This window comes from Homo sapiens, chromosome 2 (assembly GCF_000001405.40).
Source record: "Homo sapiens chromosome 2, GRCh38.p14 Primary Assembly".
NCBI lineage: Eukaryota > Metazoa > Chordata > Mammalia > Primates > Hominidae > Homo > Homo sapiens.
In genome coordinates, this window is record NC_000002.12 from 239,394,415 (window position 1) to 239,408,634 (window position 14,220).

General features: G+C 51.0%; 1 protein-coding gene and 1 long non-coding RNA gene across 27 annotated transcripts in view, besides 6 other annotated features; one reads left to right on the forward strand and one right to left on the reverse strand.

Annotated features, from left to right (window-relative positions):
• Nucleotides 1-7,235, reverse strand: part of HDAC4 (histone deacetylase 4) — a 353,482-nt gene extending 346,247 nt beyond the window's left edge. For 15 of the 24 annotated variants that reach the window (NR_198957.1, NR_198958.1, NR_026664.2 and 12 more), the window contains exon 1: nucleotides 6,564-6,606. The gene's annotated coding sequence lies outside the window, so the exon portion shown is untranslated. Of the gene's footprint in view, nucleotides 1-5,962; nucleotides 6,607-6,987 lie in introns of those variants that run through there. The other 9 variants (XM_047446489.1, XM_047446486.1, XM_047446483.1 and 6 more) reach the window with 3 other exon arrangements.
• Nucleotides 6,255-6,424: a silencer, noted in NCBI's record as "silent region_12500". NCBI's record gives its function as "represses an Ori minimal core promoter by ATAC-STARR-seq in GM12878 lymphoblastoid cells {active_cell/tissue: GM12878}" and the evidence as "EXISTENCE:reporter gene assay evidence [ECO:0000049][PMID:35858748]".
• Nucleotides 6,435-6,874: a silencer, noted in NCBI's record as "silent region_12501". NCBI's record gives its function as "represses an Ori minimal core promoter by ATAC-STARR-seq in GM12878 lymphoblastoid cells {active_cell/tissue: GM12878}" and the evidence as "EXISTENCE:reporter gene assay evidence [ECO:0000049][PMID:35858748]".
• Nucleotides 6,895-7,014: a silencer, noted in NCBI's record as "silent region_12502". NCBI's record gives its function as "represses an Ori minimal core promoter by ATAC-STARR-seq in GM12878 lymphoblastoid cells {active_cell/tissue: GM12878}" and the evidence as "EXISTENCE:reporter gene assay evidence [ECO:0000049][PMID:35858748]".
• Nucleotides 7,022-7,950, forward strand: HDAC4-AS1 (HDAC4 antisense RNA 1). 3 transcript variants are annotated; one of them, NR_135575.1, is made up of 2 exons: nucleotides 7,022-7,122; nucleotides 7,661-7,943. It is a non-coding gene; the product is annotated as an HDAC4 antisense RNA 1 (long non-coding RNA). The 3 variants fall into 3 exon arrangements; NR_135576.1 differs by lacking the exon at nucleotides 7,022-7,122 and adding an exon at nucleotides 7,306-7,555 and having other exon boundaries at nucleotides 7,661-7,950; NR_135577.1 differs by lacking the exon at nucleotides 7,022-7,122 and adding an exon at nucleotides 7,334-7,466 and having other exon boundaries at nucleotides 7,661-7,941.
• Nucleotides 7,285-7,554: a silencer, noted in NCBI's record as "silent region_12503". NCBI's record gives its function as "represses an Ori minimal core promoter by ATAC-STARR-seq in GM12878 lymphoblastoid cells {active_cell/tissue: GM12878}" and the evidence as "EXISTENCE:reporter gene assay evidence [ECO:0000049][PMID:35858748]".
• Nucleotides 7,685-7,814: an enhancer, noted in NCBI's record as "active region_17390". NCBI's record gives its function as "activates an Ori minimal core promoter by ATAC-STARR-seq in GM12878 lymphoblastoid cells {active_cell/tissue: GM12878}" and the evidence as "EXISTENCE:reporter gene assay evidence [ECO:0000049][PMID:35858748]".
• Nucleotides 12,855-13,806: an enhancer, noted in NCBI's record as "H3K4me1 hESC enhancer chr2:240328963-240329914 (GRCh37/hg19 assembly coordinates)". NCBI's record gives its function as "activates a minimal SCP1, AML or CMV promoter by ChIP-STARR-seq in primed H9 embryonic stem cells {active_cell/tissue: H9 hESC(primed)}" and the evidence as "EXISTENCE:reporter gene assay evidence [ECO:0000049][PMID:30033119]".

The following is a 14,220-nucleotide window of genomic DNA, read 5'->3' on the forward strand; positions in this document are numbered from 1 at the left end:
TTCATAAAAGCACCACTCGCCTCCTCACACGCCGGGGCCCTGGGCGAAGCGGCTGGAGAACAAGCTGCACACACCTGCCTTGGCCTTGGCACAACAGTCGCATTTGCCACTCGACAGCTGTGTTGAAGGCCCTTCTCCCTCCCATTCCTTTCTGCATCACAGAATTCCCTCCACTTGCATTTATGACATCTCCTTAGGAGCATGTAATCTCCAAAATCAGGACCAAGAAGTTCCCAGATGGGGGCAGGGGGTGTCAGGAAACAGGCAATTCCAGAGCACTGGCAAGAACCCCGCAGAGGGGCCAGGCCAGAGGTGGGGCCTCACCCCAGCTCTCCCACCCAAGGCCCGCATTGTGCCATTCACTGGGCTACCTACTCATCCATTCATTCATTCACTCATTCATTTTCTTTCATTCTTCGAGCACCTACACTGCCAAGCACAGGGTACAGAGCAGGCATGAGGCCCTCAGGGCCCCTCAATCCTACAGAGCCCCAGCTAGTAGAAAAGGTGGCATTAAACAACTAAGGTCACAATGAGCTCCTTCCTGAAATTGCACAATGGGATGCTGTTAGAAAGGAGGAAAAAAGCTATTAGGCTAAGTTTAACAGGGGATCAAAGGATGAGAGGATGAGCATGAACTGAGGGGCTGGAGAAGAGGAAGGTAAAGGGAGGCCATTCCAAGGAAGGGGAACAGTGTGTGCAAAGGCCCCGAGGTCAAAGGGGACTTAGAGAGAGCTAGAAAGTAAAGCAGGTGGCAGCTGAAACTCCACAAACACAGCAAGTGCTATCAGATGAGGCTGGTAAAACAGAGGCCAGGATCAGGCAGGCCTTCCAGGGCCCTGAGACCTTAGGATCCTAAGAATACAGGAAAGTCATGCCAGGGTTTCAAGCAAGGGAATGAGAGGTACAAACCTGCTTCTGGTGGAAACCTGGGAGACTGTTTGTAGGATGGGCTGTAGCAGAGCCCGCTCAGACCCCGAGGGTCAGTCCCCACCTTGAAGAGCTTACATGTGAGTTAGAAAAACAAATGCCCCTAAATTCTTCTATTGCAAAGCATATTTATCAACTTGCCAAGGACTTAAAGAGTACTTTTCTTTCCAATGAAGATATCTAAATGTTTTCAAATTACTACTGTAAAAAAGTAATACACGCTTACCAAAAGAATCTCTACAATACCACCATGTATAAAAGAAAAGTGTACCCCGTCTCCTCACCTCTGATGGTTACCTTAGAGACCCATGTACTTAAAACCAGGAGTGGCCCGGGGACTGCTCCAGACCCCGCCTTTCCCTCTTACACTGCACACTTCTGCCTGTCTACACATGGAGGATGCCACAGTGCAGAAATGCCAGCAGGTTTAACAAGTACTCCTTTTATAAATAATGCAGCCCCGACCTCCACACACGTCTGGATATCTACACACTTATCTTCTTTCCTTAGAATAGATTTCAAAATGTAGAACTGTGGGGACAAGGAGAATGGCATTTAAGATTTTGACACTTAAGACTTTTCTAGAGAGCAATTCGGTAATCACTATTTTATGTTTATACATTACATATATAAACTTTTTTGGGGGGGACAGCCCAGGGTCTCGCTGTGTCACTCAGGCTGAAGTGCAGTGGCAAAATCACACCTCACTGCAACCTTGACTTTCCAGGCTCACGTGATTCTCCTGCCACAGCCTCCCAAGTAATGGGGACTACAGGCACACGACGTCATGCCTGATTTTTTTTTTTTTTTTGTAGAGATGAGGGTCTCACTATGTTGCCCAGGCTGGTCTTGAACTCCTGGGCTCAAGTGATCCTCTCACCTTGGCCTCCCAAAGTTCTGGGATTACAGGCATAAGGTACCTCGCCCAGCCCTATTATATTTTATATAATAATACATATGGGTCTCTCCAGAGAGCAAATGATAATAAATAACAGCCAACATTTATATCATGCTTACTACATGCCAGGCCCTATTCAAGGAAATTTCCATACATTAACTTAAACTTTGCAAAAACCTTACAAAATAGAAATTATTATTATGACCAGCAACAGGTATCATCAAACTCGCCAATATGATAGGCATAAAGGGAATCTCCTTCACACTGAATTGATTAGTAATGCTAACCTTTCATCACTGGCACAATGATTCAATGTTCATACGTTCTGCTCATCTTGCAATGGTGATCTCATGCTCTCCTTATTGGTCTGTAAAAGCTCTTTATATATTGACTGTTAAGCTTACACAGGCATAATGTGGTATGTATTTTCTCTCTCGTCTCTTAGCCCGGCTGACGGAGTCTTTTGCCAAAGAGATTTTTTAAAAAACTCTTATCCTATTAAATCTGTCAAGATTTTCTTTAAGGTTTCTGGGTTGGTATTGAAAGAGTAGATTAACTTGGTCCTCAAATGCTTTCTTCCAATAAAATCTTCCAAGGTAATCAACAGACCGAACAACAAACACTAAAAGCTGCTCCGGCTGAAGTGGACTTGGAGCATTAGCTCCCTTCCGTCACCCCCACCTGCCTCCAGGCGTCCTGGGGACTTTGCAGGAGAAGAACATGATGTCTTCTAGTTCTGCAGTCCCACACGTGACATAAGACAGCATGAGAAAGCCAGAAGTACTGCCCAGACCTATGAAACGCGCCTGTAACAGCGCCAAGAACAGTCAACACAGCACTAGAAAGTCTAACGACACTGAACTAGAAAGGTATTCCAAATCGTCCTCTTCTCTAAGAGGCTGTGTTCGCCCAAGCACCTCGACAAGCTGAACTTCAGCTTCAAGGTCACCACCAGCCTAGAAGCAGAGGCACGGAGAGGAACTGGCCTTTGGGACTGGAGATGCAGGGGGTGGCACATGGTCCATTTCATTCTACCCCCAGTTCCTCCAGAGGTAGAGCCCACCTGCAGGACTGTGCTGACACCTACATGGTGAGTGCATGAAACAGCACGAGCCCCAAGCAGGTGCTCATCTGGCGTCAGCTACGGGAGCACGTGACAGCTGCTCGTGGCATCATCTCCTTGCTCCAGGATACATCCTCATCCCCCGACAGTGATACAGGAAGTCACGGTGGGGGCAATCTATGCAGGACCCCGACCTTCCTTCCAGGAAGTGAGTAGGAGGTGTGTCAGCAAGGCCACAGCAAGGGGACATGTAGGACCCTGACCCTCCTTCTAGGAAGTGAGTAGGAGGTTTGTCAGTGAGGCTGCAGCAAGGGGACATGGCCATTTAATGCTGCAGGCACCATGGCCCTCATGCCACCCCAAAACAGGTCCCACTCTTCCCACGCACAGAAGCCCAAGAGAAGAAAACTGACCGTATGAAGAGAACTTACTGACCTTAGTGACACTTGTTCCCACAGAAACGCTTATGAATGAGTTAAGGTCTGTTCAAAGGTAGCATCACTTTTGACATGGCACCCCTCATCTGACCTGAACCAGAAGGTGCAGTACCCGCCTCTAACGTCAAGGCCAAAAACCCAGAGCCCACCACACGGCAGGGCATATGCTGACCACCTGAAATCAAAACAAACACTCCCTCCAAATCCATCCTTTCCGACTCCTTACCCCAGGACAGACTGGGGGCTGCCAACAACAGGGCAGGGGCTCAGTCTCGGTTCCACAGCCCCAAGCTTAGGTGGAGACTGGGCCCCTTCGCCCTTCAGTTCCCCCATCCCCAGCTAGTCATCAATTCTGAGCCTCGGAGGAAAGCCCGGCCACAGCCTGTCGCCCCGCTGCCTCTCAGCAACGGCAGTTCTCTCGGCCTCTGCGGCTCCTTCGCGCCCTACATCAGGTATTAATATATTACTCATGGCAGCTTCTGAGCTATGAAAGCCCAGCCGTTTTCAATAGAGAATGGTATGGATGAATTCTACAGGAGTGATGAAATGTTTCTTCTGCTCCGGCAATTAAGACAGCATAAAGTCGCCTTTCCTTTGGTGCCACCCCCAACATTAAAGGATTGGAATTCAAAGCCATTCATGCTGCATTGAAACCTCACAATGAAGCTGGAGAATGGAAGTCGATTACTGGGCATAAATATGCAGTAGTTAAAAGGAAAGAGTTATAACAAAATTAAACTGCAGCAACCCCACAATGTGTGGAAACTTCCAGCACTAGAGTCCTCCTGGTAAACATCCATAGGGCATTCTTCTCAACGAGGTCTCTGGCCACAGAGTCCAGATGGGCTGCCTGAGCCGCACGTGGCCAGCGTGCCAGGTTGTCCTGTCCATCTTGCTACAGCAACAGCCCCCAAGGCCTCCGAGAATATGGCATTTGGGGATTTTTATTTTGCATGGCTAGGAAGCTGCTGAACACAGAACATTCTCTCTGGTGCAGGGCTCCGAGGCCACATCTGTCCTTCGTCCCTAGGCCTTCCAGGCCCATATGCAGTCCAGTCATCTTCCCTCCACCCCGTCCCCTTAGCCCAGGGCTCCCCCGGGGGCATGCCTGCTGCCAGCTCCCCTTGCAGGAGAAAGAACCCTAAAGAGGGCAGCGTTACATCTGCCTGCTGAGTACAGCCGGCTTCTTTTCTAATTGATTACTGCTCTCTTTAGGATGGGATTTGATCTCTAAAATAAAAGCCCAGAACACAGAAAGCTATAGAAGTCTTACAATGTGTTGGGGTGTGTGTTTTTAAGGCATGAAAATACTTCCCTCCCACACAAATGTGAGTTCTTCTGGGGAAAGATGCCACAGATCCCAGAGAGTAGAATATCTGGGAAAGCCCGATCAGTCTTAAAAATAGGTAATTGAACACAGATTTTAGAATTCACAAGAGCTACCTGAAAAAAAATTAAATTTCACATATTTTTGATATCCAAAACTCCATTCTGATGAAACTTCTAACTCGGTGGCATTTTGCATTTCCAATTATAATAGAGTAATTGTGTTGCCATAGTTACTGCAAAATTCTGCAATAACTTTTGTTGCTTTGTAACTGCTGTAGTGTATATTTGTGTACAAGCAGCTGAGTTTTCTTAATTCGATCTCCCTCCCTTCCACCCTCCCTCTCCCCAGCCACCACCACCACCTTTCCTGGCTAGGTCCTGAAACCACCACACCAGCCTTCTTTGGACAGTCCCGAAAATAATGCACAGAATTATCAGAAGCAATTAAAACTCCAGGCAACCACGATCATATTACAAAAGAAAAAGTGAAACCAGGTCAAGGTGCAAACCTGCCAGTATCCCCCCAGTCCTGCTGGGCTGGCGCTGGGCCAGGACTGTTTACAGGCTTACTCCCAGGCCTTAACTGCTTCGGTGATTTGTGGGAATAAACAGAAAAGCCTGAACAGAGAAAAACGGGGCGGCAAAGTGACTGCACAGGCCCTTTCCTCCCTCACGGAGAGCAAGCAGAACTGCTCTCAGCAAGCAATTAGGTAGGTCTCTACAGTCATGCAATTAGGATTTAGTGAAGAAAGTCATTAGTTTTAAAATAACTTAAGTTTAATTTCTGCAACGCTTTATTTGAAAACTGTGTCACAGCAGGTCAATTTACAACATGCAATAAAGAAAACACTCATATCAGCTGCCTCAAGTTATTACAAATTTTTGATGTGCATTAAATGAGTACACTGGGTTCCACCCCCGGCCTTTCCAACTGATACGCACGGTCTCCTCCTATAACAGTGTCAAATAATTCAACGCTCAATGTAAATACGAGATAATTTGCTTATGATTCCGTGGTGTGTTTTCGCAACGCCGGCAAACGCGGATCCCACCCCCGAGCGGGACCGGGCCCCGTCTCGGCCTGCTGGCGCCCTGCGGGCTGAGCCGAGCGGGTCCCGGGCAGCCCCCCGCCCTCCCGCGACCCCCCGGGCGCTCGCAGCGGCGACGACAAGCGCGGGGCCGCGGACCCCCGGCAGGGACGTTTTTCTGCAAACTCACAGCATTTGACAAAGTTACATAAACGGCGCCCGGCCGGCCCCGGCGCCCGCCCGCCCCCGCCCTCACTCCCGGCGGCCCGGAGCCCACCTGCTCGGGGGGCGCGGGCCCCGCACCGGGAGACGGCGCCGCTGCCTGCCGTGCCCACCCCCGCGCCCCCGCCCCGGCGGGCGAAGCCGCCTCGCGGCGCGGGTGGAAAGGTCCAGAAGGGGCCGGGCGGCCCTGGGGACCGGCGGGTCCCACGGCGCGCGGCCAGCGCTGGCCCCCGCCTCCCACGGCCGCGCGCGGGGCGGGTGTGGACCGGCGGCGTCCACCTGCCGCGGGCTCCAAGGCCTGCAGGCTGCGCGGGGCGCGGGGCGGGCGGCGGACAATGGCCCGCGGGCGCCGGGCCGGGGCTGCGCTTACCGCGGCGGGCGGCGGCGGCCGGCTCTAGCCCTGCTCCGGCGCTCCGCGCCGCATCTCCTCAGCCTGCGCCGCCACCCGCCGGCGCGCGGGCTCGGGCTCGGGCGGCGACAGCCGGGACGCGGCCACGGCGCCGCCGGGGGCCCAGGCTGGGAGGCTGTTCGGGCGGCGGCGGCGGCGGCGCGGGCGGGTGCGCGGGCTCGGGCTCGGGCTCGGGCGGCGGCGGGGACGGTGCTCCGCGGCGGCGGCCCCACAACCTCCCCTCCTCATTCACAAAAAATTGACCCACGTTGAACCATGATGCTTCTCCCCACTCCAGCGTCGAGCCAGGCGGCGATAGGCCACCCCGCACGCCCGTCAGCCGGCCCGGCCCCGCCCAGCCAGCCGGCGGCTCGCCAACCATTGGCTGCGGCAGCCTTGCGTCACCTCCCCTTGCGGGCCCCGCCCTCCCGCCTGGTTTCTAATGAAGAGCTCGTCAATTACGGCTCGGCCCCGCCTCCCGCCCGCCCGCCCCGGGCGCCTGGCCGGCCTTCCATTGGCCCGCTGAAACCTGCGCACAGCCCGTCTGCTCCCACCCCTCGCCCAGCGGCTGCTCAACCGCGGGGCCGGATGCCCTATGAGCGGCAGAGAGGCTCCACCCCTGCCCGCCTCCCCGCACGCGTCCTGGACCTCATTGGCTGCTGGAGCTGCCAATTCTAGAGGGTGGGGCGTACCAAAAGACGCTCCAGGCGCCAGCCGCTGGGTGCTTCGCGGTTGAGGAGGCGCAGGGACCGGGGGCCAGTAGTGGCCGTAAACACGGGCCCCGGCCGTGTCCGGTCGCACTCGGTAGCCCGCATGGCTGCCTAGCGGTCAGCACCGCATGTCTGCGAGCCTAATTCGCGCTTAGAGGGCACACAATGGGGTGCAGGCTAACGCGGGGAGCCGGCCAGGCCTCGCCGCGGCGTCCATCTTGGATACTGGCAGTGGGTCACGTGGTGCTGCGTGCGCACGGAGGCGCAGGGCGGCCCGGTCACTGAGTGCGCAGGCGCCGTGGGCCTCGCCCTGCCCCGCGGCGGGAACGCGGCCGTGAGGGTGTGGGGTGTAGGTCCGCCAGGCCTGCAACGGCTGCCGAGGGTCGTGGGATGCGCTCGCCGCGTCCCTGCTCAGGCGGAGGGAGCCCGGCCCGCCGCCAGGGTCTCGAGTCCGGGTCCAGGCAGGCGTGGAGGTGGCGGGAACGGCGCACCGCCCGGGTGGGCGTTGTTTTAAGGCCGCAGGGCTTGGGAGGCTTGTGTTGAGTTACAGGTCGGCCCGTAGATCCCCGGAAGCGCCTTTGGTTGCCAGCAGGTGTCGGCGAGGGTCTTCAGTGGCCACCCTCCTGGTGGTGATGTTTCCGTTTCTTTCCAACAGGAGTATGACAACTTTTCAACTTGAGTGCACACACTGTCCCCGGAATCCCGCGTTCCAGGGAGGAAGCGCCTTTGACAGCGCGCGCCGGTTCGTGGGGCCCGACGGCGTGGGCCTGTGGTTGCGGACCTGGCGGAGATGCGCGTTCGCTTCGATTGTAGGCCATTCCTTTTAGGAGCTGAGAAAGGATCCGTTTTTACAGCATTCTCGACCTGTGATTCTTGGTGGGGGAAACTAGTTATGTGGATAAAAATACAGTTAGCAAAATAAAAATGCCAATTTTACATTTCCTTAAATATCTCATTAATAATTAGAAAACTTTGGTCATTGCAAGAAATGCTTAGGCTAAACTTAGAAGGAAAGGAATGGTGAATTAGAGAACTTTAAAACAAGATACAGCTGAAGAAAAGGAGAGCAATTACGGGGTTTTGGAGACTTGGCTGCTGATGGAAACGGTGCACTATCTAATTTTCATGTAGAATGAAACAGGGTCTGTAGCTAGCTAACATCTAGATAAGATTCAGTATCATTTGACAGGATTCTCAAAAACATACAATCACGAGAAAATATTAAAACCTGCCTGTAAGTCTACCAAAGTTAGTTTTTCACGTACAAAGAGAAGTGCCTGCGCAAAAAGTCACGTGAAACGAGCTCTGGGATCTAATGCTTGCAGAGGTAATTTTTAAAAAGTAGATTTCCATTAGAAGGAATGGGTAGCCCCATTGCTGCGTGCCATTTAGTCCTCACAGGAGTCCTGAGAGGCACTCCAGCAGAGTGAGGCACCACGCAGACGTTGGGTGGATGGTGCAAGAACCTCACTCGCCATGTCTGGAAAAGAGAAACTTGGCCTGGGTGGCTGTGTCTGCCATTATGTGTCAGAGGGGCTGTCTGAAGGAGACCGGTGCACAGCCAGTGCAGAGCAATTCAGTACGATAGTGTGCAGTGAAAGCAAACACGCTATCCTGTGAGCTGTGTATAAGGAGAAAGGTGGGGTGACAACCCCAATGCCTGGGAGCATTCGCGCTTGGGACTTCACATACAGGTATTTGACAGAGTCAAATGAATCACACTCAAAGGAATCTCCGTGTTCTCACAGTTGAAAGAAACCAGCATCAAAGACTCAAATTTTAAAATCTAGGGTTGGTGGATCCAATAAATTGGTAGAACTCCTAGACTGGCTACGATCGGCAAGCTGGCCAATTATAAAATATACAAATAACAGTAACTTTCAGATAACTGACAACATTCAATCGGTAATTAAATAATTGTTGCATATTCAGTATGTGGTGAGCTTTGTGCTAAGCACTTACATATGTGTTAGAAAATATGAAACATTCTCAATTAGCAAAAACATTTTAAGTACCTAAATGTAACAGTAAGTTCCAACAGAACTTCCTGGGAATTGTGAAAATCGTTAAATAGTTCATCTGGAAGAATAAAGATTTGAGAGCAGTCAAAAAGAAGAGTAATGAAGGAGAAACTGTGCTTCCAGAAAATAAAAACATGTTATCTGGGCTCCGAAATGAAAACAACGTGATATTGGCCCAGATCAATGCAAAATAATAGAAAGTAAAGGAATGGCCCCAAGCAAATGTACTGACTCCAGGCTGATACCCAGCCGATATGTGTATGATCAGTGTGCTCCAGCTGTTCTTAATGGGCAGCTTTGCAGGCTGGTCAGTGCCTGTGCCTCACCAACTATTGACTAGTTTTAATACCACCCCTGTAGGGATTTAAAGTATAATGAAAGTGGCTTTTCAAATCAGTGAGAAAGCAATATGGTAGGGTACCTGCTAATCATTTGAAGAGAAGATATTAAAGTTGAAATCTTTACTCATCAAATGGAGTAAAGACTTCAGTTTTAAAAAAAGTACTAAGGAAAAACTCTGGACATCTCTATAGGGTTGTGGAATATAAAGAATATTGTCAACAGTCATAAAGGGAAATAATTGAGAATTTAGCTATGTTGTAATTAAAATTTAGTGTATAATCAGTGGGAAAATGGATAAACCCCAACTGCAAAATACAAGGGAATATTACTCAGCAATAAAAAAGAATGAACTGTTATAGACGGTTGAACGTCAAGAACATCATAAAAGATGTCAGATACAAAAGGGTTTACACTGTATGACTGTTAATATGAAATTCAGCCAAATATGGGGTAGAGATCAGAACAGTTCTCTCCAGATTGGGGGCCTACAGAGGGTGGACTGGGAAGGACACGAGAACCTTCCCGGGCAATGGAGATAATACACTTTCTGTCTGGGGTGTAGATCGCATAGGGGTACGTACCGATCAAAACTCGTTGAATTTAAGAGCTGTGCCTTTCTCAGGAAGATTTTAATTCAGAAGAAAAAAAAATTGTTGAAGGCAGTGGCTGCCCCAGTTTGGAGGGGAAGGGGGGACTTCTGGTGCTTCAGAACACAATAAAATTAAGACAAGTGAGTGGGGAAAGCGTTTGCGTGGGATTCGTAGAGGCTGATCTTCACAGGCAGGAGGGTTTTCAGAGCGGAGCAGCCCATACATAAAGCAGGCAGGGACAAGGAGAGGCAAAGACAAAAGAAGAAACGCCCATAAACATGACAGGATGTTCTCTAATAAAAGAAGTGCAATGCTTTGTTTGATAAAAGCAAATGTGTGGAAATAAACGCTATTATACAGCAACTGAGTGTCAACTGATAGAAACTTTCAGACAGCTACTTAACCACACTCATAAATAAAACCTGCAAAATTTGCACCTTCTTTCACCTAGTGATTGCAATTTTAGAACCTCATTCAAAGAGACAAACATGGATGCTGATAAACATTTAGCTAAAAGGTCCACAGAAACAATGGTTGGTTGGGATGAATATGTATGCATATATCACCAAAAATAAGGGGTTTTATATCAGGGAAAGAAATTCACTTTATAGTTTCAAGGGAAAAGAAAGACAAGAAGACCTCATTACAATGTGATGTAATTTTTACAAATGAAAGCATTTATAGACACAAAAACAATGAGGAAAAATGTGTCCTCTTCTAAGTGGAAAATGAGAGATTCTTGTTTTCTTTTGCTCACTTGTTTTCTTAATTCTTCAGTGAACATGTTTTTCTTTTGTAAAAAAATAATTATTTAAAAAAATTCAAGAAGGACATGAAGTTCACTAAGGAGACAGCAAGGTCTGAGAGACTCTGTCAAGCGGGCACGAGCCGGGGGCTGTAGGACAGATGTGGGAGGTGCAGCCTGGGCTGCAGTGGAGGGAGCAGGGGTGGGGTAGTTCAGGGCTCTTCTCACAGCCCTAAAACTTTCTTTTTTTTATTATTATTATACTTTAAGTTCAAGGATACATGTGCACAATGTGCAGGTTTGTTACATACGTATACATGTGCCATGTTGGTGTGCTGCACCCGTTAACTCGTCATTTACATTAGATATGTAATGCTGTCCCTCCCTCCTCTCCCCACCCCACGACAGGCCCCGATGTGTGATGTTCCCCAGCCTGTGTCCACGTGTTCTCATTGCTCAATTCCACCCTATGAGTGGTACGCACTATTCACAATAGCAAAGACTTGGAACCAACCCGAATGTCCATCAATGATAGACTGGATTATGAAAACGTGGCATCGATACACCATGGAATACTATGCAACCATAAAAAAGGATGAGTTCATGCCTTTGTAGGGACATGGATGAAGCTGGAAACCATCATTCTGAGCAAACTATCACAAGGACAGAAAATTACAGCCCTAAGACTTTCAACTCTTCCATATCTTTCAGCGGACCCTCTGCCCTCCAACACTTTAACCCAAGACCTGCTCCAGATAGGGATGACACAACCAGCTCATTGAAATAAGTAGCAAGAGACCAACAAAACAGCTGGTGATGGACGCTCCCCTGGGTCCCCTTGCCCAGCTTTCAGCCTTGGGTGACTGATTCAATGGAAGTGAACTTGACCAAGCAGACCCAGTCAAAAGCTACCAAAGTTGGCTTGAGATTTTTGCTTTAGTTTATGTTTTTTGAGGTAAAATATTGGGGTCATTAGCATGTAAGGAGGAGCTGAAGTCACTACAGGGGGTGAGGCCAGGTAGGGAGTGGCTAGAAATGGCAGGAGCAGTGGAGTCCAGGAAGAGAAGAGAGAAGAGGCCGAGAGCTGAGAGGCTGGAGGCTGGGGGACTGGGAAAAAGTCCTCCGGATGAGGCCTTTGCTGTTCAGGGAAGTAAGTTTGCACGTGATTGCTATCTGAGGAATTTAAGTGCCAACTACCTTAGCTCAGGTCCAAAAGCAGAGCCTGATACAAGGACACAGGTGCAGCAGGGGTTTGGGAGGAGGCCCCAGGAGGCAGGAGTGACAGACCTGGGGGCTGGAGATGGGACAGGAAAGGAAGGACAGCCAGTCCTGGGCTGTGATGTGCAGTTGGCCAGACTGTTCATCTCTGAGAAGGAGGAGGAAGCATTTTTCGATCAGCTTCCAAACACCAGTGGTCAAGTGCTGCCCCACAGGGGTTAAGTAAGGCCCCCCATGCTTCCAGGCTGGGCAAGCAGGAGTTCTGAGAGAGCCCCCCAAACACCCCACTCTGAGCATCAGAGAATCTCTGGGAAATGAGACAAGAGAGGCACCACAGGCCAAGGGGAGGAGACACCAGGGCGCATCTGCGGGGCCCAGGGAGCACTGGCCATGGAAGCGTGGCTGAGATGAGAGGGAGCTCCAGCTGCTAGAAGGGGTGCTGAGGCGAGGCCAGAGGCCAGGTCTCCTGCTGTTCCAGGAGGTGCTACGGACCCTGGAAGGCTCAGAGGCATCGGCTGGGTAGCTACCACGGTCACCAAGCAAACATGAAGTGAGGAGCGTCTGAGGAGCTGGTGGGGGAGACCCAAGGCAAAAAGTTTCATGTGCGGCTCCTCCACTTCCCGCAGGCAGCATCCCCATAAGTCCATCCTAAGTGGAAAATGCTTCGAATACACCGAAACTGCCAAGCGTCATGGCTCAGCCTCGCCTGCCTCCAGTGGGTTCAGAACACATGCATTAGCCTACAGTGGGACAAAATCATCTTACACAAGCCTGTTTTATAATAAAGGGTTGAGCACCTCACGTCACTCATTGAACACTGTAAATTAGGTCAAAACTGCAACAGGCCAAGTCAGACCCTCCTGAGTCGGGACTGTCTGTATTTTCCTCTTAGTACGGGAGACCGGGGTAGGTCTGTGGCCAGGGCGGAGGCGTGGGGGAAGTGCCCCTGAGAGAGTCCCAGGGAGGAATGTGGAGGATGCCGTGGGAGTGCCAGGCCCGTCCCGAGCGTGTGTGGCACGTGGCAAGTGTCAGGCAGAGGCTCACACATCTCGTGTCTAAATACTATAAATAAAAGGGCAAATTCAGCCAATAGACTGTGACAAGGAAAGTGCCCATCCTCCTCCTGCCACACTCATCCCGCTGTAACTGTCTGGAATTTAAAATCCTCAGGGGCCTCAAGATTCTGCCTCAGAGGGAGCTGCAGTCAGCCTCTGCCTTGTTCCTTTCTCCTTTTGCCACTGGCCTTGTCTTGCACTTCAAGGAGCCTGTCTCCCATGCCCAGCCTGATTCAAGCTCTACCCACACTCCCAGACAGCCACCCCTTGGCCTCCCTGCAGACCTGAGTGTGGCAGCCCCGTGCCACAGTCTGCCTTTGGGCCATGGATCTCAGAATAGGCCCGTGCCTGTTTGGAAATGGCTTCGGGTCATCTGGATGTGGAATCCTGGGCCCCTGTCACCTGGAGCATGGGTCCCCGAGCAACACCCACGATGGTCGGTCGCAGCGACTTCTCAGCTAGAGAGAAAGATACCCTGGAGGGGCCAGATAGCCTGCTTCAATAGCACGGGTCCTGGAACAGGAGGCCAGGTCAGGACCCTTGTGCTCAGGTCTCAGACGGGCTCTGAAAACCCCAAGCAGGAAGATCCTCAAACAGTAGGGGGCCTCTGAAAGAAAGGGGAGGGGGTGAGAATGGGCAGAGATGAGTCTACAGGTGAGGGCAGGAGGCTGAGGATGGCAGCCTTATGTTTATAATAGACATGGTCCTGAGCTGAGACCCAGGAGTAAAGACAGGGTGATGACAACAATAATCAACACGTGATGTGCTTGCTATGAGCCAGGTGCTGTGGGAGTGGCATTGGCAGGGTATTGAAGAGAGAGCTGAGCAGGCTATTAGAAAGCATTGCTAGCCAGGTGCTGTGGCTCACGCCTGTAATCCCAGCACTTTGGGAGGCCGAGGTGGGCGGATCACGAGGTCAGGAGATCAAGACCATCCTGGCTAACACGGTGAAACCCTGTCTCTACTAAAAATACAAAAAATTAGCCAGGCATGGTGGTGGGTGCCTGTAGTCCCAGCTACTTGGGAGACTGAGGCAGAAGAATGGTGTGAACCCGAGAGGCGGAGCTTGTACTGAGCCGAGATCGCGCCACTGCACTCTATCCTGGGCGACAGAGCGAGACTCGGTCTCAAAAAAAAGCATTGCTGAGTGGTGCTGAGGGCCCACCCAGTCAAATGCAGGGTTTGTAATGGCACCAGGGTCATTTATCTTTTCTGGTAGCACTGAGAAGGCCAGCTGCAAAATT